The sequence below is a fragment of the Homo sapiens genome, chromosome 1, assembly GCF_000001405.40.
Source record: "Homo sapiens chromosome 1, GRCh38.p14 Primary Assembly".
Lineage (NCBI taxonomy): Eukaryota > Metazoa > Chordata > Mammalia > Primates > Hominidae > Homo > Homo sapiens.
The window spans coordinates 499,201-522,954 of record NC_000001.11 but is presented as its reverse complement, the minus strand read 5'-3'; the positions used below and the strand labels follow the sequence as shown (position 1 = coordinate 522,954).

Genomic DNA, 23,754 nt, shown 5'->3' with positions numbered 1-23,754 from the left:
AGGAATTTTGTTTTTTAGGAAGGCTTTCTACTAATGGAATTCCTGGCCTTGAGAGGATGTTACTTTAGAAGGAAAGGATTTTTTTGTTATTAAAAGGTAAGATTCCTGGATTCTTATTGGACTGTTGTCTCTGTTATGAGTAATCCATCTTTAGTCATTCACCACTAGGGTTGTATTTAATTAAGTCTGAGTTATTTTATGGTGATTTTGTTTTGTTTTGTTTTGTTTTTACCGAATTTTGTTCTCATTGCCGTGGCTTGAGGGCAATGACGTGATCTCAGGTCACCACATTCTCTGCCTTCCAGGTTCAAGCAATTCTCCTGCCTCAGCCTCCTTAGTAGCTGGATTTACAGGCATGCGCCACCATGCCTGGCTAATTTTTTGTATTTTTAGTAGAGATGGTGTTTCACCATGTTGACCAGGCTGGTCTAGAACTCCTGACCTTGGGTGATCCACCCGCCTCGGCCTCCCAAAGTGCTGGGATTACAGGCATGAGCCACTGCGCCCAGCCTGGGCCTGCTTCTTTCTCTTTTTCTTTTTTTTTCATTAGCAGCTTAAAATTGGTGCCTTATTCAGACACAAGCAAAAGGACATTAGCCCAGCTTTGGAAATAGGTGAGAGCCCATATATGATTTTCCTAGTTTCTCCTCCCCCTTTGCTTTTTGCTCTCTTGTTAGTATATTAATTGTTTTCACTCTCTGAATCTTTTTTCCCCATTTCTTTGGCAGACATTTTTACTTGTCTTGGAAGAGTAGGTGAAGAGCTGTTTTTAGGACTCTTTGAAAGGGTACAGTATGGGTGACAGTCTTGGCTAATGGTAACATCCAGGGAGCTGGGGTCAGCGTGAGCTGGAATCAGTTCAAATTAGCAAAGCACTGGCACTCAGTAGCAGGAATACAAGTGACTGCAAAGTGTTAAACACATCTGGAAAGGGATACTGACATCATCCTCAGAATCTGTGGGGAGTTCACATAGCCAGTTAAGACCCATTCTTCTTTGACCCTGTAAAGATTCTTTAAAGAATAAATACCCTTAGTGGTTTTCTAGCCAGCTTGCCTGCTCATTTATCTTTGAGGACGACATGCCTTGTGGAGCTCCACAGGCCCCAGAGGGGTATGGATTCTGCATTTAAAAGTGCTGAAGCTGAGAGACTGGGTCTTGGTGGACCCCGAGAGGTCTGTTTCTCCTCTACTCATTGTTCCTTTTTTTCCCAACAGCTGGCATTGCTGTTTAAATGGGTTGTTCTTTGCTGTTTTAAGTTGTTTCATAGTGGTGTGTCAGGATTTGGGTTTTCTTAATACTTTCCAAGCTGGTGACTTGAGTGGTGGTTAGGGAGGAAATGTTTTAGGGCTGTTCTGGAGCTATTGAGGTCGGGTGTCTAGATACTCCCAGCTTGTCTGTTGAGGAGAATGCTGTTCTCATTGTGCTGCCTTTGGTGGTGCTGTGTGTGGCTCTTTAGATGTGCGTGGAGGTGAGCTGGGGGAGTTAATGAGATCTTTTTTAGGTGCTTTTCATAAAGTAGCCTGCACTACAGGATTCACTGTGACTTTTTTCCTTAACCTATGCATTTCTCTCTGCTAGCTTTTGCTGTCTTTCTCATGCCTTTGATTTTCCCAGCTCCTCTTAGTTGAATTAACCTAAGTGCTCTGCTATGGTTTAAATGTGTCCCCCAAAGTTTATGTGCTGGAAACTCAATCCTCAATGCAACAGTTGGGATGTGGGGCCTAATAAAATAGCCTTCATGAATGAGTTAATGTTGTTATTGTGGTAATAGATTAGTAATCACAGAGTGGGCTTATTATAAAACAGAGTTCAGCCCCTTTTGCCCTCTTGCTTTCTTGCACTCTCTTTTCCTTCTGCCTTCTGTAGTGGGATGATGCAGCAAGAAGACCTTTACCAGATGCAGGCCCCTCAACCTTGGACTTCCTAACATCCAGAACTGTTAAGAAATAAAATTTATTCCTTTCCTTTCCTTTTCTTCCTCCTTTCCCTTCTCTTCCCTTTTCTTCCCTTCCCCTCCCTCCCTCTCTCTCTCCCTCCCTCCCTCCTTCCCTCCCTTCCTCCTTCCCTCTTTCTCTCTTTCCCTTCCTTCCTTTCCTTCTTTCCCTTCCTTCCTTTCCTTCCCTCCTTCCCTTTTTCCCTCCTTCCCTCCTCCCTTCCTTTTTTCTTTCCTTCCTTTTTTCCTTTTTATAAATTATGCAGTCTGTGGTATTCTTTTATAGAAGCATGAAATGGACAAAGACTCCATTTTCAAGAGCAAGCACTTTTGTAGTTTCTGAGCGAACTATGACTGCAAAGGAAGTTCTATAGGTAGCCTCAGATCCACTACCTAGGAAGCATGCTACCAAGCAGACCTAGGATCTAGGATTTGATCAAGTGCTGGGCAACATGATACCTCTGCAATTTAGCACTTCCCTATATACCTCCAGTTGGCTCAGCCCATTAGGGCTAAAACTACCCCTCATATCCTAGTGTCTCTTGTAGGCAGAAGCCTTGCCTAAACCCTAAGCTGCTTGGCTCACATTCTCTCTTGTGCTTTTTTTGTAGGGGGTTCAAATATACACAAAAGAAATATGTTGAACCTCCATGCACCCAACCCGCAGATTAAGCAGTTACCTCCATTTTTCCAGATTTGTTTCATCTGCTTCAATCTCCCTAAAAATTTATGTTTGTACAGGAAAGACTGAATAAATAGCTAATTTTCCACCCTACCTCTCATCTTAAGTCACTTTTCAGAGTAGTAAGTTAGTGACCTAGTAACCTTCCCTCTAATGACCAGTAGTTTTTTTTTCTGAATACCATTATGAACTCATAGATTATTGTTTGCATTTGATGTATTTCAGGCCATTGCAGTCTTTATTGTTTTGGATGCTTACATTGTCTCATCTAGGTTAATAATTATCTCTTCAAGTTGACTTTCATGTCTTTTTGAAGTGATCCTGTTGGACTTTGATGGCTTCCTTGCTTTCTGGCAAAACAGATGTTCCAGGATCAATATACTGCACCATACATGGAGTCAGCCATTTCTCTAGGGAACCTTGATTCCTTTTAGTAGAGAACACAGTTTGAGGTCTTGGACTGAATGACTTTTGTGAACCTCCTCTCCTGAGACTACAGCCTGCATCCCTGCATATAGCCCGTTTGGAGCTCTTGCTGGGCACCAACAGATCTCCTAAAACTGCTATATAGTTCTGCCTCACTCTTACAAAGATTCATCTCTTGAGAGTTTTGTGCTCTACCCCCAGATGTGGTCTTTCTGGTTATGAAGCTTTTGCTTCAGTCACCCTGAATTTTGCCAGCCCTATGCATGCTATACCTTGGATTGCCAACTTGCCCTCACTGAAGCCAGTTTCTCTGGTTAGAATAGTTGCCCAAACCCATGCCTAATACTCTAGTAAACAAGGTTCTACCTGGGCTTAGGTTAACTTTTGCTCCTTTGGGCCCTGTGTTCTACCAGCATTCCATTTATCTGAAACTCTCCCTCACCTTAAGAACTTATCTGTTCTTTAATGATTTACTGCTGCTTCCTGGGCTCGAAAGAACCCAGTTCAGGAGTTTCTGTTTTAGTTTGAGATCTTATAGGCCTGTCTCATCAGGTTGGTGTCAGCCCAGCTAGGATTAGGCAGAATTGGGTGGGGGCTGTAGTGCACTTTTGGCACAGCATGTACCTGTCTGACTAATTCTCTGTCTTTTCTTTCCTGTTGCAATTCATGGGTCTTAGCATCTTCTGAATGGTGTTTAGTAGGTCATCCTGTTGATTTCCTGCTAGGGAGTAGCATACTCTGGCTCTGTACCACTGGCCAAGGGACTTAAGGATAGATGAAGGGCTGCAGTTTTGTTAAATGGAACAATATGAAGAGATGGCATTGTTAAAAAAAAAAAAAAAAGGCTTGGCAGCAGGGCCCATTTGAATGGTTGGTCCTTGGCTCCTTTGTTGATATAGGCAGATCCTTGATGGGAATTTGGAATGATCCCAAATATTGTAGATCACTGGTACATCAAGTCATCCTCAAGGTTGTCTGTGTAACAGTCTTGAATGATATTTTGTCAGTCTTTGGAGATTCTCTGTATAGGGTTTAATCATTTAGTTATTTCAGTTGAGCCTGTTTAGTTTCTTTGCAAGGAGATAAGAAATGTGAAAGAGATGCAGACATTAGGGAAAAAAAGTCAGGAGCCTTGTTTCCCCATCCTCTACTTGGGTTCTGGAACTAGACTCATAGGTGAGTAGTGAGGAGCTGGGCCCAAGCACATTAATCCTAGATCTAGCTCTGCTTTGCCCTCGCTCCAGTTCTTGTATCAAATTCACTTCAAGCCACCCAGAGTAGTATGTAGAGGAGTCATTCAGGACCATGCTCATACTTCATTGTATCAAATGGGAGATCCAGTAATTTATAGCCTATTGTTTCTGGAGCCTGGAGATGGCTCTGCATAAGATTTGCCGAAGCAAATTTTATTACATTAGAAGAGAACCTAGCTGGCTGCATCCTACACTGGAAGCTTTTAGATGCTAATAAGGAGGTCATGTAAAGGTCACAGAATGACTCTGGAATCCATTCCCCGCCAAGAAAGAATAATGACATTCTATGTTGGCCTCTTTTCATTTCCCTTTGGTTTTGAGTAATAAATTCTCTCCTCACTTCCCAGTCGAACTGTTTGGGAGTCTCTATTCCCTAGAAAGACTCTGGTCACATACCCATCAGATTAAATTAGGTGAAAACTCTTTGGCCTTCATGAATGTTGAAGGATTTCAAAGGGCTAATGGAAATTCTTCTAGAAGTAACTGCAACCTCCGCCTTCCGGGTTCAAGCGATTTTCCTGCCTCAGCCTCCCAAGTAGCTGGGATTACAGGTGTCCACCACCATGCCCAACTAATTTTTGTATTTTTAGTAGAGACGGGGTTTCACCATGTTGGCCAGGCTGATCTAGAACTTTTGACCTCAGGTGATCCGCCCGCCTCAGCCTCCCAAAGTGCTGGGATTACAGGCGTGATCCACCGCGCCCAGTTAAACTTCAGTTTTTCATGTTCCATGCATTGGTCAGGGTCTTAGGGAGTGATTCATTCTAGCAGAACTCCCTGGATTTTAAGGCAGATGTTCCATTTATTAATTGACAAAGGAGGCATATTTCTCCCCTGGTAACCCAAAGATTTAGGTCATTTTCCCAGAGACTCCATTTCCACTGTGAGGGTTCTTGGAAAACTAAGCAGAGGATGAGGAAAAGTCTGTGAACAAGCTTGCTGGTCTCTCCCTGTCCTACAAAAGAGCATACCTCTTCTGTAACCAGAAGGCCCTTTTGATTAGTCAAGGCTGGACAGAGTGAGATTGGGTGTGTGTGTGTGTGTGTGTGTGTGTGTGTTTGTGTGTGTCTTGAGACTGGGTCTCACTCTGTCACCAAGGCTAGAGTGCAGTGGTGAGATCAGAGCTCACTGCAGCTTCCACTTCCTGGGCTCAAGCGATCCTCCTATTTCAGCCTCCAGAGTAGCTGGGACTATACGAATGTTTTACCGCACCCAGTTCATTTTCTAATTTTTTGTAGAGATGAGGTTTCACTGTGTTGCTCAGGCTGGTCTTGAACTCCTGGCCTCACGGAATCCTCCTGCCTTAGTCTCCCAGTGGGCTGGGATTATAGGTATGAGCCACCTCACCTGACCTGCGACGATTTTTCAATGATGTAATTTCTCTTTTACAGAGCCACCTAAGCTGAAGATTCCCTTGAGAACAAGTACTGTCCCTAGTTTCCCAGTGCTGGAATATAGAAAATGGATGGACAAGTAAATCCCACTCAGCACCCATAGTCCAGGCATGGGGACCTCAACACACCTGAGCCCCAGACATCACCTTTCATTGCGAGTAGCTCTGAGATGACACTTCTGCTGTTCCCAATTCCAGCATTAATTGGATTAGATAGTTATTTTATGAAGAATTTTCATATGCCACAATCCTGACCATATCTTCAAGTGAACAGAAAAATTCTATTAAAAAGTCAACCTTCTGTCTCACTCTGTTGCCCAGACTGGAGTGTAGTGGTGCAATTATGGCTCACTGCAGCCTCAACCTCCTGGGCTCAAGCAATCCTCCTGCCTCAGCCTCACAAGTAGCTGGGACTACAGGTGCTTGTCACCACACCTCACTAATTTTCCCATTTGTGTTATATGTGGATTCCACAGGACTGACTTTGAAAACTTGAGTATGCGTGGATTTTGGTATACACAGAAATGGGAGAGCTGGAACTAATCCCCCCATATACCAAGGGACAAATTGTATCTGTTTCTACAATTATACAGTAGGAGACATTATGTTCCATGACAATGGCAATTTTTAACGACAGTTTTTAATTGAGTGAAATTACCATAAAAAAAATAATAGTAGCAGCTAATATTTACTGAGCTGTTACTAGGTGCCTATAAATAGCATAGATTTTTAAATTCTCCATAATTCTTCCTTATTTCACTTAACCACCCTATCTTAAATTACTCATGCTTGCCTCAGTAGCACACATACTTAAGTTGGAACAATAGAGAGATTGGCACGGCCTCTGTGAAAGAATGACATGCAAATTTGTGAAGCATTCCATATTTTTTTAAAAAAAGAGAAAAAAATTACTCCCAGATTTTCACGGTGTTTGTGCATATGACCTTTTGTTTAGGTTGAATTATATCCAAAGGTGAAATTTCCAGAAGTGAGATTACTGTGAGTCACAGGGCATGAGCATTCTTATTACCCTCAATGTAAATTGCAAAGCTTTCAGGCATGGTGGCTGTCAGCCTGTAATTCCAGCACTTTGGGAGGCTGAGGTGGGAGGATTGCTTGAGGCCAGGAGTTGGAGGAGGCAGTATAATGAGTCACTGTCTGTATGATTTAAAAAAAATTTCCAAGCTTTATGCTGGAAGGCTTATATACATTTTAAACACCACTAATACTACAAGAAAATGGCCATTTCACTGCACCTTCGCCCACACAGGTATTATAATTTAACAAGTTATTTTCTGTGTGATAAATGAAAGACCTCCTATTAGCTGGGATTACAGGCATATGCCACCATGCCTGGTTAATTTTTGTATTTTTAGTAGAAACGTGGTTTCACCATGTTGATCAGGCTGGTCTCGAACTCCTGATCTCAAGATCTACCCGCCTTGGCCTCCCAAAGTGCTTGATTACAGCTGTGAGCCATGTGCCCAGCCTATTTGTCACATATTTTATCTTTCCTTATGTTAGCTTATTAGCTTTATTTCTTTATTGTCCTTTTTTTTTTTTTTGAGATGAAGTCTCGCTCTGTCTCCTAGGCTTCAGTGTAGTGGCACAGTCTCAACTCACTGCAGCCTTGACCTCCTAGGCTCAGGTGATCCTTCCACCTCAGTAGTTGGGACTATAGGCACATGCCACTATGCCTGGCCAATTATTTTTATTTTTTTATTTTTACTAGAGAGGAGGTCTTGCTTTGTTTCTTAGGCTGGTCTGGAACTCCTGGCCTCAAGCAATCCCCCCACCACCCCCTCCCAAAGTACTGGTATTATAAGCATGAGCCACCATGCCTGGGGTATCTGTGTCTTTTCCATTTATTTATAGAGTTACTTTGTCTTTTACTAATTCAATGATCTGTTTAATCTTTTATTAAATTATAAAAATGATAAATACTTTTAAATAAGTGAAAAATGTCCTTCACTCTTTAGACCCATAATCTTATCTCAGGAAATAATTGCAGTTGAGAAAATGGGCCATATCCTTCAAGATACGTACATGGTGATTGAACATCACTTCATATTTTCATATTTCGTGGACATTTGTGCCAATACCTATTGATCTATCTTAATCCTTTTCATGGTTGCATAATATTTTATTATATGGATGTATCACAATTTACCAGTACCAGTCAACTGCTGGAGGCATTTAGGCTCCTTCTAATATTTGCTTTGAGCTCTTTATATAATTAAAAATTAACCCCCTCAGCCAGGTGTGGCAGCTCACACCTGTAATCCCAGCATTTTGGAAGGCTGAGGTGAGAGAACTGCCTGAGTGTAGGAGATCACCACCAACCTGGTCAACATAGTGACACTTTGTCTCTACTAAAAATTAAAAAAAAAAAATGAGCTACACGTTGCAGTGCACACCTGTAGTCCGAGCTACTGGGGAGGCTAAGACTGGAGGATCACTTGAGTCTAGAAGGTTGAGGCTGCAGTAAGCTATGATCACACCATTGCACTTTAGCTTTGCTAAGAGCAAGACTGCATTTCTTAAACAAAATAAAAATTAGATGGGAATATTGCTCAAGCCCTGGAGGTTGAGGCTGCAGTTAACTGTGATTGCACCACTGCAGTCCAGCCTAGGTGATAGAGCAAGACCCTTTCTCTAAAAATAAAATAAAATAAAAATTAACCTTCTATCATATTTCCCAGTAACACCTTCCCTCCTACATTTCTCCTAGAAGCCCTTAAATTTTGTTTTTCACATATCGTTTAAAACTTTTAAGTGCTGATGTCTGTCTGTGTCATCCCTCTTTTTTTTTTTTTTTAAATGTCTTTTTGTCACTTCTAGCTGGACCTACCATGAAAGACTTCTGAATCCAAGAAGAGAAACTGACTGGGCAACATGTTATTCAGGTACAAAAAGACTTGGACTGTAACTCAAAAATGATCAAATAATAGTGCATGCATCAAGTGCAATCGGAAGCTCTTCTGGAGAGGGAGAGAAGCTTCCAGTTAAGGTGACATTGAAGCCAAGTCCTGTAAGATAAGGAAGAGTTGTATGAGAGTGGGGAGGGAAGGGGGAGGTGGAGGGATGGGGATTGGGCTGGGATGGGATGGAGTGACCTGCCCAGGCAGGGAAACCAGCACTATACAGACCTGAACAATGAAGATGGCACATTTTGTTCAGGGAATGGTGAATTAAGTGTGGCAGAAATGCTTTGTAGAGACAGTAATTTGCTTGTATGGAATTTTGCCCAAGAGACCTCATTACAGTTTCTAATTTTTTGATGTTATCATGCATCACTGCCCTTGTCAGATAGTATCATGATCACAATAACATCAAGCATAATATTTCATTGATTCTCACAAAAACAGGTGGGTGCCACAGTTATCCCCATTATATGCACAAAATGATGAAGACTTGGGGTTAATGAGTGATTTGCCCAAGCTCACCTGAATATTAGGACTGAGTCAAATGTTAGTCTGGTCTGACTTTAATGCTTGCCTTGTTCATGAGCACCATGCATTGCCTCTCCTATTAAGTTAAGCAGGTAGACAGGTGAGAGAAGAGCCAGTGTGATATCGGGGGAAATTTACCCCTGATATTTCATGTAGGTTCTTTTCTATTTTCCCTGAGTGTCAGCCAGTCTGAGAAATAAAGGGAAAGAGTACAAAAGAGAGAAATTTTAAAGCTGGATGTCCAGGGGAGACATCACACGTCGGCAGGTTCCGTGATGCCCCCCAAGCCGCAAAACCAACAAGTTTTTATTAGTGATTTTCAAAAGGTGAGGGAGTGTACGAATAGGGTGTGGGTCACAGAGATCACATGCTTCACAAGGTAATAAAATATCACAAGGCAAATGGAGGCAGGGCAAGATCACAGGACCACAGGACCGGGGCGAAATTAAAATTGCTAATGAAGTTTCGGGCGCGCATTGTCATTGATAACATCTTATCAGGAGAAAGGGTTTGAGAGCAGACAACCCATCTGACCAACATTTATTAGGCGGGAATTTCCTTGTCCTGATAAGCCTGGGAGCGCCACGTGAACCCAGGGCTTATTTCATCCCTTATCTACGACTGTAAAAGACAGCCGTCCCCAAAGCGGCCATTTCAGAGGCCTCCCCTTAGGGATGCATTCTCTTTCTCAGGGATGTTCTTTGCTGAGAAAAAGAATTCAGCAATACTTCTCCTATTTGCTTTTGAAAGAAGAGAAATATGGCTCTGTTCAACCCGGCCCACAGGCAGCCAGAGTTTAAGGTTATCTCCCTTGTTCCCTGAAATTGCTGTTATCCTGTTCTTTTTTCAAGGTGCCCAGGTTTCATATTGTTTAAACAACTTGTGCAGTTAACGCAATTATCACAGGGTCCTGCGGGGACATTCATCCTCAGCTTACGAAGATGACCGGATTAAGAGATTAAAGACAGGCATAGAAAATCACAAGGGTATTGATTGGGGAAGTGATAAGTGTCCATGAAATCTTCACAATTTATGTTCAGAGATTGCAGTAATGACAGGCCTAAGAAATTATAGAAGTATTAATTTGGGGAACTAATAAATGTCCATGAAATCTTCACAATTTATGTTCTTCTGCTGTGGCTTCAGCCAGTCCCTCCGTTTGGGGTCCCTGACTTCCTGCAACACGTTTCTCTCTACTCACAGACTTCTGACCAAATGTGTGTGCAGAGTTTCTACACCAGTTCTCCAACTCTCTGGATACCAACCGCGTATCCCACAATTCCATTCTGACACTACCTAGAGTTAGCACAGAACCCACAGGTTAGGGGCTCAGTCCCACAAGACCACCCTCACTTCAGATGCCAGTTGCAAGTCCTAGGTTGTCACCTGTATTTTGACCAACCAGTTAGAAATCAGGGTTTCCCATGACCCTCTTGTTGAGTTTAATTATTTACTAGAACAACTCACAGAACTTAGAAAAACAAGTTTTTTTTCTTTTCTTTTTAAGAGACAGGGCCTCGCTCTGTTGTCCAAGCTGGTGTGCAGTGGTGCAATCATAGCTTATTGAAGCCTCAACGTCCAGGGCTCAAGTGATTCTCCTGCTTCAGCCTCTCAAGTAGCTGGAATTACAGGGTTCCCACCACCACATTTGGCTAATTTCTTTTATTTTTTGTATAGATGGGGTCTTCTTATGTTGCTCAGGTTGGTCTCAAATTCCTAGGCTCAAGTGATTCCGCCCACCTCTGCCTCCCAAAGTGCTGGGATTACGGGCATGAGCCAGTGCATCTGGCCACCTTATTTTCTATTACTGGCTCAATGTAATGGCTCCATCTCAGGAACAGCCAATGAAAGAGATGCACAGGACAAGGTAAGTGGGGAGGGGCACAGAGCTTCCATGCCCTCTGTTGGGCACACTACCCTCCCAGGACCTCCTTGTGTTTAGCAACACAGAAGCTCTCCAAACCCTGCTGTTTGGGTGTTTATGGAGGCATGATTGATAAAATCACTGGCCATTGGTAGTTAAGTCAATCTCCAGTTCCTTTTGCCTCCTGGAGTTCAGCAGGTGAGGCTGAAAGTTCCAAGCCTCAAAAAATGTGGTTGGGGCCAGGTGCGGTGGCTCACTCCTGTAGTCCTAGCAGTTTGGAAGGCTGAGGCACATGGACCACTTGAGGTCAAGAGTTTGAGACTAGCCTGACCAACATGGTGAAACCCCGTTTCTACTAAAAATAACAACAGTTAGCTAGGCGTTGTGGCACATCCCTATAATTCCAGCTACTCGGGAGGCCGAGGCAGGAGAATTGCGTGAACCCGGGAGGTGGAGGTTGTAGTGAGCTGAGATTGTGCCATTGCACTCCAGCCTGGGCTACAAGAGCCAAACTCCGTTTAAAAAAAAAAAATGTGGTTGCTTTCTCTGGCAGCTAGCCCTCCTCCTGAAGCAGTCTCGGAGCTTGCAGCCACCCTGTTAGCTCAACAGCATCCCACATGCATTCTTACCATGCTGCAGATCTGAAAGACCTTAGAGGCCCTTGTGTCAGGAACCTGGGACTAAGACTAAATATCAAAACAGAAAATGCTCCTATTACCTCTGTCACGAAGGGCTTTATAAGAGCTTTGGAAGCTCTATGCCAGGAACCACGGGCAGAGACCAAATGTATATTTCTTTTCTTATATCGGAGACAGAGTCTCACTCTGCCACTGAGGCTGGAGTGCAGTGATGTGATCATAGCTCACTGCAGCCTTGACCTCCTAGGCTAAAGCAATCCTCCCACCTTAGCCTCTCCAGTAGCTGGAACTACAGGCATGCATCACCATGTCCAGCTGATTTTAATTTTGTAAAGGCAGGATCTTCCTATTTTCCCCAGGCTGATCTCTAACTCTTGGCCTCAAGCAATCCTTCCTCTTTGGCCTCCCAAAATGTTGGGATTACAGATGGGAGCCCCCATACCCACCAATCACAAGGATCTTTATAAGAGAATGAGGTAGGAGAGTCAGAATTAGAGAAAGTGATGTGGTAATGGAAGAAGAGGTCAGAGAGGGAGATTTGAAGATGCTGCACTTCTGGCCTTGAATATGGAGTCACGAGGTAAGTCAAGGAATGGAGGTGGCTTCTAGAAGCTGGAAAAGGCAAAGGAGCACATTCTGTCTAGAGCCTCCCCCAGAAGGAATGCAGCCTCTCTGACACCTTGACTTTAGCCTTGATAGACCTAGTTGGGCTTCTGGCCCCCAGAACTGTAAGATGGTAGATTTGTGGTGTTTGATGCCACTAAATGTAGGGTACTTTGTTGTAGCAACAACAAAAAATGAACATGAAGCTGGGACCTCATGTTACAGTTGCTCACGCCTGTAATCCCAGAACTTTAGGAGGCTGAGGTGGGAGGATCGCTTAAGCCCAGGAGCTTAAGACCAGCCTGGGCAACATAATGAGACCTCATGTCTAAAAAAAAATGTTTTTAAAGGCCAGGCGCAGTGGCTCACGCCTGTAATCCCAGCACTTTGGGAGGCCGAGGAGGGTGGATCACGAGGTCAGAAGTTCAAGACCAGCCTAGCCAAGATGGTGAAACCCCATCTCTACTAAAAATACAAACATTAGCCAGGTGTGGTGGTGGGTGCCTGTAATCCCAGCTACTTGGGAGGCAGAGAATCACTTGAACCCAAAAGGCAGACATTGCAGTGAGCCAAGATCGCACCCTTACACTTCAGCCTGGGCGACCGAGACTCCGTCTCAAAAAAAAAAAAAAAAGCCATGTGTTGTGGCATGCAGCTGTAGTCTCAGTTCCTAGGGTGGCTGAGGCGGGAGGATTGTTTAAGCCTGGGAGGTTGAAGTTGCTGTGAGCTGTGATTGCACCAGTGTACTCCAGCCTGGGCAATAAAGCAAGACCTTGTTTCAAAAAGAAAGAAATGAGCATGGTGGGAATGGGGACAGATGGCAGTGTTAAGTAGAGTGGTCAGGGTTGGCCTCATAAGTGAATATTGAGCAAAAGTTTGAAGCAGGTGATGGAGCTGGCCAAGGTGCTGAGGGAAGAGCATTGTAGGCTGAGTCAACAGGATAAAGGCATTAGGAGGAAACTCTCTGGTGTGTCTGAGGCTCTGGAAGGAGGCCAGTGGAGCAAAGAGATAGAGGGAGCGAAGTCAGCGAGGAGGCCAGGGAGTTGCTGGGCTGGGATCGGTACAGATCGTGTAAGCCCTGGGACGCTATTGCTGGGGCTTTGGCTTTTACTCTGACTAAAATGGGAACCACCAAGGGCTTCTGAGCAGAGAGGCGACATGATCCGTCTCCTGATTTAAAAGCACGACCTGGCTGCCGAGTTGAGAAAGACTATGGGAAGATTTGGGTAGAAGCATGGGGGCCAAGCTGTGGCAACATCCCAGTGGGAGATGATAGTGATCCTGACGGGGTTCATGGTGGTGGTGAGAGATGGTTAGAGCCTGGATACATATTGAAGTCAGTCAGTAGGATTTCCTGACAGACTGGATGTGAGCTGTGAGAGAAGGCAGTGGTCAAGGTTGAGTTTGATTCTGATTGAATTATTAAGTAATTTTAAAAAACACTACTGCTTTTCCCAATCCTACCAAGTAAAGGATGCTAGATAAAAGAAATCCCAAGTCAGGCCAGGTACAGTGGCTCACACCTATAGTTCCAACAGTTTGAGAGGCAGAGATGGGAGTATGTTTTAAGGCCATGAGTTTGAGAGCAGCCTGGGCAACACAGCAAGACCTCCTCTCTACAAAAATAAAAAAAATAAATTTAATAAAATAAAATAAATATAGCCAGGCATGATGGTATGTACCTATGGCCCCAGTTACTCATGTGGCTGAGATGGGCAGATCTCTTGATTCTAGGAGTTTGAGGCCAGCTTGGGCAACATAGCAAGTCTTCTCTCTCTACAAAAATGAAAAAAATGCCTGACATGGTGGTACTTGCCTGTATTCCCAGGTATGGGGGCAGCTGAGGCAGGAGCATCTCTTGAGCCCAGTTGGTCAAGGTTGCAGTGAGCTATGATTATACCACTGCACTCCATCCTGGGTGACAGAGTGGGACCCTGTCTCAAAATACAAATACAAATGAAATCTCAAGTCAGACCAGTCCCTTCTAGGCTATGTAGGCCTTGTAACCACATAGCTGCATGATCGGGTTTGTGTGGCTGTGGATGAGGAGACCCCTGTCCAATTGTTGGCTATGTAATCAGTTTATTTTTCAATATAGTAATCAAATATATTTCATCATACTTGATGGTCTCAGATATGTGTGGATTTTGGAATTCCCCTTGGAACAGGTTGTAACATCTTATTGGCTCCATAATTCCATAATTTTTTTAATCTGATCAGTTTTTAATAAGATCGCAATTTATATTAGACTACTTAATCGGTTTTGTTAATGACAAAATGAAATTGTGTTGTTTGCATTTTATCCAAGATGGGTGTCATATTGGGTAAATCTCATCAATACTTGAACAAATGCAAAATTAGAGCTTCTTTATCATGAAACACGATGTAATTCTTGAAGAAGATGCCATTTCTTTTTTTTCTTTTTTTTTTTAAGATAAGAGTCTTTCTCTTGTCACCCAGGCTGGAGTGCAATGGTGCGATTTTGGCTCACTGCAACCTTCACCTTCTGGGTTCAAGCAATTCTCCTGCCTCAGCCTCCCGAGTAGCTGGGATTACAGGTGCCCGCCACCATACCCAGCTAATTTTTGTATTTTTAGTAGAGATGGGATTTCACCATGTTGGCCAGGCTCCTCTGGAGCTCCTGACCTCAGGCAATCTGCCTGCCTCAGCCTCCCAAAATTCAAGGAGTACAGATGTGAACAACCACGCCCGGCCTCCATTTCTTTTTTGTAGTCTTTAATAAACAGCTGCTATCATTGCAGACTTGCTGTTTAGGCACTTAGGAATTTTTCACTAGAAGGCATGTAAATAAAGACCATGGGCAATTGTAATGAATTTCGCCTTCATTCTTTGACTACATGACTGTCCCCAGAGCTGTAACTTTATTGAATTTTTTAGAAGCCATTTAGCTAGCAACTGAGCCTAACCAGCCACTCACCGTCATTATTCAGTGCTCTTTTATTATTGTCTATTTCTCCTCCAACTTGGCTACACTCACAAAGTGATAAAAACTTGCATTTGTTTTCTTTCCTTTTCAGAGACAGCGTCTTGCTCTGTTGCTTAGGCTACAGTACAGTGACATGATCATGGTTCACTGTAGCCTCAAACTCCTGGGCTCAAGTGGTTCTCTCACTTCAGTCTCCCAAGTAGCTGGGACTACAGACATGTGCCACCATGTCCAGCTAATTTTTTATCATAGAGACGGGATCTTGCCATGTTGCTCCGACTGGGCTCAAAACTCCTGACCTCAAGTGATCCTCCTGCCTCAGCCTCCCAAAGTGCTGGGATTACAGGCAGGCATGACCACCTGTGCCCAGCCCCCTATTATTATTATTTTAAATAATAGCTTTATTAAAATATTCAAATGCCATTCACTTTATTTATTGAAATCTGCAATTCCGTAGGTTTTAGAATATTCACAGAGCTGTGCATCGATCACCACAGTCACTTTTAGAACCTTTCATTACCCTATAGAGAAATCCATACCCCTTAGCTACTACCTCCTACTCTCCCCACCTACCTTTGCCCCCAGCCTTAGGCAACCATTGATTAATTTTTTGTCACTATAGATTTGCCTAATCTGGACAAATAGAATTGTACAATATGTGATCTTTTGTGGCTTTTTTTCCCTCTTAGCACAGTGTTTTCAAAGTTCCTTTATGTCATAGTGTGTATCAATATTTCATTCCTTCTATGGCAGTATTCCATGGTAGAGACACACTGCATTTTGTTTATCTGTTCATCAGTTGGTGGATATTTGGGTTGTTTCCATGTATTCCATGTATTGGTCATTATGAATAATGCTGCTATGAAGATTGTTGTACAAGTTTTTGTGTGGACATATATTTTTATTTTTCTGGGATATATGCCTAGGAGTGAAATTGTTGCATTATAGGATGACTGTACATTTAGCCTTTTGAGAAACTGCCAGACTGTTTTCTAACGTGGCTATACCAGTTGGGTGCAATGGCTCACACCTGTAATCCCAGCTACTCAGGAGGCTCAGCTAGGAGGATGGCTTGAGCCCGTGAATTCAAGACCAGCCTGGGCAAGATAGTGAAACCCCGTCTTGATTTTTTAAAAATCCAATTAAAATGACAAGAAAAGAAATACCCAAACAAAATGGTTACACAATTTTATGTTCCCACCAGTAATGTTTGTGGGTTCCAATTCCTCCACATCTTCACTGACATTTTTTTTTTCTAGATAGGGGCTTGCTCTGTCTCTCAGGCCGCAGTGCAATGATGCCATCACAGTTCACTGCAGCCGTGACCTCCCAGGCACAAGTGATTCTCTCATCTCAGCCTCCTGGGTAGCTGAAAATTACAGGTGTACGCCACCATGCCTGGCTAATTTTTAGATTTTTCTGTAGTGGTGGGATTTTACCATGTTGCCCAGGCTGGTCTCATACTCCTGGCCTCAAGTGATCTGCCCACCTCAGCCTCCCTAAGTTCTGGAATTACAGGCTGCCACCATGCCCGGCCTTCACCAACATTTGCCATTATCTGTTTTTTTTTTCTTCCTTTATACCTTAAAGCAGTATAAGAACAAGTGTCTTCAATTATAGGAAACAGTATAATCCCAGGGCTTTGGGAGGCTAAGACAGGAAGATGTCTTGATGCCAGGAGTTTTTTTTGTTGTTGTTGTTTTTGTTTTTGTTATTGTTGTTGTTGTTTTTGACAGTCTCGCTCTGTCACCCAGGGTGGAGTGCAGTGATGGGGTCCACTGCAACCTCCACCTCCCAGGTTCAAGTGATTCTCCTGCCTCAGCCTCCCGAGTAGGTGAGACTACAGGTACACGCCACTACTGCCCAGCTAATTTTTGTATTTTTGATAGAGTCAGAGTTTCACCGTGTTGGCCAGGCTGGTCTCGAACTCCAGACTTCAGGTGATTTGCCTGCCTTAGCTTCCCAAAGTGCTGCGATTGCAAGCATGAGCCACCATGCCCAGCCTGATGCCAGGAGTTTTAGACTAGCCTGGGAAACCTAGCAAGACCTTGTCTCTACAGAATATTTAAAAATTAGCCAAATGTGGTGGTGCCTGTGTATAGTCTCTCTCCCTCTCTTTTTTTTTTTTTCTAACTTTTTGTGACATGGTCTGGCTCTGTCACCCAGGCTGAAGTGCAGTGGTGTGATCATGGCTCACTGCAGCCTGAAACTCCTGGGATCAAGTGATCAATCCTCCCACCTCATCCTACCAAGTAGTAGGGACCACAGGTGTATGCCACCCAGGTCTTGCTATGTTGTCCAGGCTGGTCTTGAGCTCCTGGCCTCAAGCAATCCTCTCACCTTGGCCCCCCACAGTGCAAGGATTACAGGTATGAGCCACCATGCCTGGCCCCTACCCTGCCTACTGAGAACCAAAGGAAGGATCCAAATTCTCCTTAGCTCAACTCGAGCCATTTCCTGATTGCTTCATCAGCGAGGAGCTGGTTATTGGGCTGTCCAGGCCTCCCAAGCAGCACAGAAATGAGGTGAAGGAGTTTTCCTGTTGCTCCACTCTGTAAGGAGTTGGAGGGTGATGTTTACTCGTTTGCAGAGAGAGATGCCTTGTAGGCACCTCAGCATGGAGAGGGCCCTGATTCCAATGTCCTTTTTTTCTTCAGAAACAGGACCTTGCCCTGTCACTCAGGATGGAGTTCAGTGGTCCTATCATGGCTCATTATAGCCTCAAACTCCCAGGCTCAAGCAATCCTACCATGTCAGCCTTCCCAGTAGCTGGGACTACAGGTAAGCATCGTGACACTCAGTGAATTTTGTTTTTATTTTGTTGTAGAGATGGGACCTCAGTATGTTGCCATGGCTGACCTTGAACTCCTGCACTCAAGGGATTTTCCTACCCTGGCCTCCCAAAGTATTGGTATTACAGGCATGAGCCATTGTGCCCACCGTCTCTGGTTCTTAACCTTCTGCCTCCCTCTTCCAGTTTTAAAGAATGCTTGTAATTACATGGGCTCTCCTAGATACTCCAGGATAATCTTGTTTTAAGGTCAGCTGATGAGCAACATTAATTTTATCTGCACTCTTAATTCCCCCTTCCTATGTAATTGTGCTGTGTAACATAGGACATGAGCAATTGGTGGCGGTGGGGGTTATTACTTTGGCCACCACAGTAACTATTTTATGCCAGGTACTCAGCTAAGCACTGGTGAATTAAGCATGAATAACACACACTCCTTAATCTCCATCCATTCATGGGAGGAGCACTTCACCTGCCATGCTCCTGAGAATCTCGGGAGTCATAGAAGTCTTCTATGAGGAGGTGATGCCAAAGCGGACAAGTGACAGAGGAGTCAAAGCTAGCTAGGAAGAGAGTAGAGGTTTAAGGGGAAGCATATTATAAGCAGAGGATATTACCCACTTCAGAGACTCCCAGAGGAGAAAGAGTGTGCATTCAAGGGGCAGATGAGGCTCAGTTGGACTCCATAGCAGATGTAATGGAGAGGGGCAAGCAGTGAGGCTGCCTTGCAAGGCAGGGCAGAGCAGGGGCTGTTAAGGAGTTTGGACTTAATCCCTGAGGCAAGGAGAAGTGATGTAAATGGGGGAGTAACATGATGAGATTCATAGATTAGAGACATGGCTCAGGCTGCTGTAGAGAAGGCACCAGGAAGAGCAGATGGCTCAATGTGTGTGCAGAAGACCTCTCCCTGAGTTTAGGGAGAGGTTTTTAAAACAGAAGAAGTTTGAGTAATTTAAATGATGATGGGAAGGAGCTAAAAGTGGGGGATAGGTTAAAGATACAGGAAAGTGGGAGGAAGAACTGACAAGTGAGGTTCCAGAGAGGGCAGGAGAAGAGGAGATTCCCATAGGGGGATTAACACTTTCTTTTCTTTTTTCTTTCTAAGACAGGGTCTCACTCTGTCACCCAGGCTGGAGTGCAGTGGCACAATCTTGGCTCACTGTAGTGTAGACTTCCCAGGCTCAAGGGATTTCTCCCACCCCAGACTCCCAAGTAGCTGGAACTACGGGTGTGCACCACCACCACACCTGGCTAATGTCTCTTTTTTTTGGTAGACACAGAGTCTCACTATTTAGCACTGATTGGTCTCCAACTCCTGGCCTCAAGCGATCCTCCTGCCTAGGCTTCCCAAATTGCTGGGATTACAGGCATGAGCCACAATGCCTGGCCTCTGCTAGTTCCGTATTCTCTAGAGTTGTCTTTACTTTGTGCTAGTGTGTCCCTCATTGTGCTGATCCTCTGTAAAAATTAATACCTTTTTTTTTTTTTTGAGATGGAGTTTCACTCTTGTTGCCCAGGCTGGAGTGCAATGGTGCTATCTCGGCTCAGCGCAACCTCCACCTTCTGGGTTCAAGCAATTCTCCTGCCTCAGCCTCCCGAGTAGTTGGGATTACAGGCATGTGCCACCATGCCCAGCTAATTTTGTATTTTTAGTAGAGATGGGGTTTCTCTGTGCTGGTCAGGCTGGTCTCGAACTCCTGACCTCAGGTGATCTGTCTGCCTTGGCCTCCCAAAGTGCTGGGATTACAGGCATGAGCCATTTTGCCTGGCCAAAATTAATACTTTTTATATTAAATTTATATATATATATATATATATATATATATATATACACGTTTTTTCTTTTTGATACCGGGTCTCACACTGTCACCCAGGCTGGAGTACAGTGGCACAACCTCTGCTCACTGCAGCCTCCACCTGCCAGGCTCAAGCAATTCTCCTGCCTCAGCCTCCCGAGTAGCTGGGATTACAGGTAAGTGCCACCACACCCAGCTGATTTTTGTGTTTTTTGTAGAGACGAGGTTTCGCCATGTTTCCCAGACTGTTCTCAAACTCCTGAGCTCAAAGCAGTCCACCCACCTTGGCCTCCCAGAGTTCTGGGATTACAGGTGTGAGCCATCTTGCTCATTCTAGTTTAAACTTTTGAGTGGTTTGTGTCTCCTGATTGGACTCCTACAAATACAGAATTGATGCTAGGAAGGGTACCAGGAGATAGACGCACACAGATGGGATTTGGGAATAGGTTTGGTTATCCAAGGAGCAGTGCTGAGCTCCTTGCAATGGGATATGGGATGCTGGTGATTTCTAGGAAGTGAGCTCACAATGACTCAAGCTGCCACATACTGTTGATTGTGAAATGCCAGTTGAAGCATATGTCCTGCAAGCTTAGGGGTGCTACAAGTTGACCACTGCAGCAGTAAAGATGACTCTGAAGAATGGCGTGGGATGGTTCCTTTCAAATGCACTTGAGCAGCGGTCTCCAACCACAGGGCCACAGAGCTGGAGGTGAGCAGCAGGCGAGTGAAGGGAAACTTCATCTGTATTTCTAGCCCCTCCCATCGCTTGCATGACCACCTGAGCTCCATGTCCTGTCAGATCAGCAGCAGCATTAGATTGTCATAGGAGCACAAACTCTGTTGTGAAGTGTGCATGCGAGGGATCTAGGTTGTGTACTCCTTATGAGAATCTAATGCCTGATATTCTGTTACTGTCTCCCATCACCCCAGGTGGACAGTCTAGTTGCAGGAAAACAAGCTCAGAGATCCCACTGAGTCTACGTTATAGTGAGTTGTAGAATCATTTCATTATATATTACTATGTAGTAATAATAGAAATAAAGTGCACAATATATGTAATGCACTTGAATCATCCTGAAATTATTCCCTCATTCCCAGTCTGTGGAAAAATTGTCTTCCACACATTCACTCTGTTTTTTGGTAGAGGCAGGGTCTTAATATATTGCCCAGTCTGATCTCAAACTCCTGGCCTCAAGTAATATACCTCTCTCAGCCTCCCAAAGTGCTGAGATTACAGGCATAAGCCACCACCCTCAACCAAGACTTTCTTAAACCAAATAAAAATTAAGTGAGATTACTTGAGCCCAGGTGGTCAAGGCTGCAGTGAGCCTGATTGCACCACTGCACTCCAGCCTAGGTGACAGAATGAGACTGTCTCAAAAAATAAAATAAAATACAAATTAACCCTTTATGACATTCCCAGTAACTTCCTAAGTGCTCCCCACAAGTCTTTGAATTCTGTTTAATTTTCACATAACATTTAAGACATTTAAGAACTTATGTCTGTCTGTGTCATCCCTTTATGTCAAAAGATGTCTTTTTGTCACTTCCAGCTGGATCTACCATGAAAGACTTGTGAATCCAGGAAGAGAGACTGACTGGGCAACATGTTATTCAGGTACAAAAAGATTTGGACTGTAACTTAAAAATGATCAAATTATGTTTCCCATGCATCAGGTGCAATGGGAAGCTCTTCTGGAGAGTGAGAGAAGCTTCCAGTTAAGGTGACATTGAAGCCAAGTCCTGAAAGATGAGGAAGAGTTGTATGAGAGTGGGGAGGGAAGGGGGAGGTGGAGGGATGGGGAATGGGCCGGGATGGGATAGCGCAAACTGCCCGGGAAGGGAAACCAGCACTGTACAGACCTGAACAACGAAGATGGCATATTTTGTTCAGGGAATGGTGAATTAAGTGTGGCAGGAATGCTTTGTAGACACAGTAATTTGCTTGTATGGAATTTTGCCTGAGAGACCTCATTGCAGTTTCTGATTTTTTGATGTCTTCATCCATCACTGTCCTTGTCAAATAGTTTGGAACAGGTATAATGATCACAATAACCCCAAGCATAATATTTCGTTAATTCTCACAGAATCACATATAGGTGCCACAGTTATCCCCATTTTATGAATGGAGTGATGAAAACCTTAGGAATAATGAATGATTTGCGCAGGCTCACCTGGATATTAAGACTGAGTCAAATGTTGGGTCTGGTCTGACTTTAATGTTTGCTTTGTTCATGAGCACCACATATTGCCTCTCCTATGCAGTTAAGCAGGTAGGTGACAGAAAAGCCCATGTTTGTCTCTACTCACACACTTCCGACTGAATGTATGTATGGAGTTTCTACACCAGATTCTTCAGTGCTCTGGATATTAACTGGGTATCCCATGACTTTATTCTGACACTACCTGGAGTTAGCACAGACCCCACAAGTTAGGGGCTCAGTCCCACGAGGCCATCCTCACTTCAGATGACAATGGCAAGTCCTAAGTTGTCACCATACTTTTGACCAACCTGTTACCAATCGGGGGTTCCCGTAACTGTCTTCTTGGGTTTAATAATTTGCTAGAACAGTTTACGGAACTCAGAAAAACAGTTTATTTTCTTTTTTTCTGAGAGAGAGGGTCTTATTTTGTTGCCCAGGCTGGTGTGCAATGGTGCAGTCATAGCTCATTGCAGCCTTGATTGTCTGGGTTCCAGTGGTTCTCCCACCTCAGCCTCCCTAGTAGCTGAGACTACATGCCTGCACCACCACATCTGGCTAGTTTCTTTTATTTTTTGTATAGATGGGGTCTTGTTGTGTTGGCCAGGCTGGCCACAAATTCCTGGTCTCAAGTGATCCTCCCACCTCAGCCTCTGAAAGTGCTGGGATTACAGATGTGAGCCACCACATCTGGCCAGTTCATTTCCTATTACTGGTTCATTGTGAAGGATACATCTCAGAAACAGTCAATGAAAGAGACGTGCATGCTGGATGCAGTGGCTCATGCCTGTAATCTCAGCACTTTGGGAGGCCAAGGTGGGAGGATCGCTTAAACTCAGGAGTTTGAGACCAGCCTGGGCAACATGGTGAAAACCTGTCTCTATAAAAAATTAAAAAATAATAATAATAACTGGTGTGGTGTTGTGCACCTAGAGTTCCAACTACTAGGGAAGCTGAGATGAGAGGATACCTTGAGCTGGGGACTGGGGAGGCTTAGGTTACAGTAAGCTGAGATTGTGCCACTGCACTCCAGCTTGGACAAAAGAGCCTGATCCTGTCTCAAAAAAAAGAAAGATACCCAGGGCAAGTTAAGTTCGGAGGGGCACAGAGCTCCCATGCCCTCTGTTGAACATGCGACCCTCCCAGCATCTCCTGTGTCCAGCAACCCTGAAAGCTCTGCAAACCCCTTTCAGGGTGTTTATGGAGGCTTTATTATGCAAGCATGATTGATAAAACCTTTGGCTGTTGGTGATTAAGTCAGTCTCCAGCCCCTCTTCCCCCTGGAGTTCAGTGCATGAGGCTGAAAGTTCCAAGCCTCTTACCATGTGGTTGCATGGTAATCAGCCCTCCTCTTGAAGAAATTTAGGAGCTTGCAGTCACCCAGTCATCTCAACAACATCCCCAAATGCATTCTTACCATGCTGGAGATCCCAAAGTTCTTAGAGGCTCTTGTGTTAGAAACCTGGGACCAAGATCAAATATTAAAACAAAAGATGCTCCTGTCACATCTATCACTGAGGTCTTTGTAAGAGCTTTAGAAGCTCTGTGCCAGGAACCAGGGACAGAGATTAAATATATATTTCTTTTCTTTTTTTTGAGACAGAATCTCCCTGTGCCATCCAGGCTGGAGTGCAGTGATGTGATCATAGCTCACTATAGCTTTGGCCTTCTGAGATCAAGCAATCCTCCCATCTCAACCTCCCAAGTAGCTAGGACTACACATGCATGTCACCCATGCCCAGATCATTTTTGTAGAGTCAGAGTTTCACCGT

At 44.1% G+C, this 23,754-nt stretch overlaps 1 non-coding gene across 1 annotated transcript; it reads left to right on the top strand.

Annotated features, from left to right (window-relative positions):
- The first annotated feature begins 6,475 nt into the window (after positions 1-6,475).
- On the top strand, positions 6,476-6,579 carry LOC124904706 (U6 spliceosomal RNA). The gene has a single exon (XR_007067247.1). It is a non-coding gene; the product is annotated as a U6 spliceosomal RNA (small nuclear RNA).
- The last annotated feature ends 17,175 nt before the right edge of the window (positions 6,580-23,754 follow it).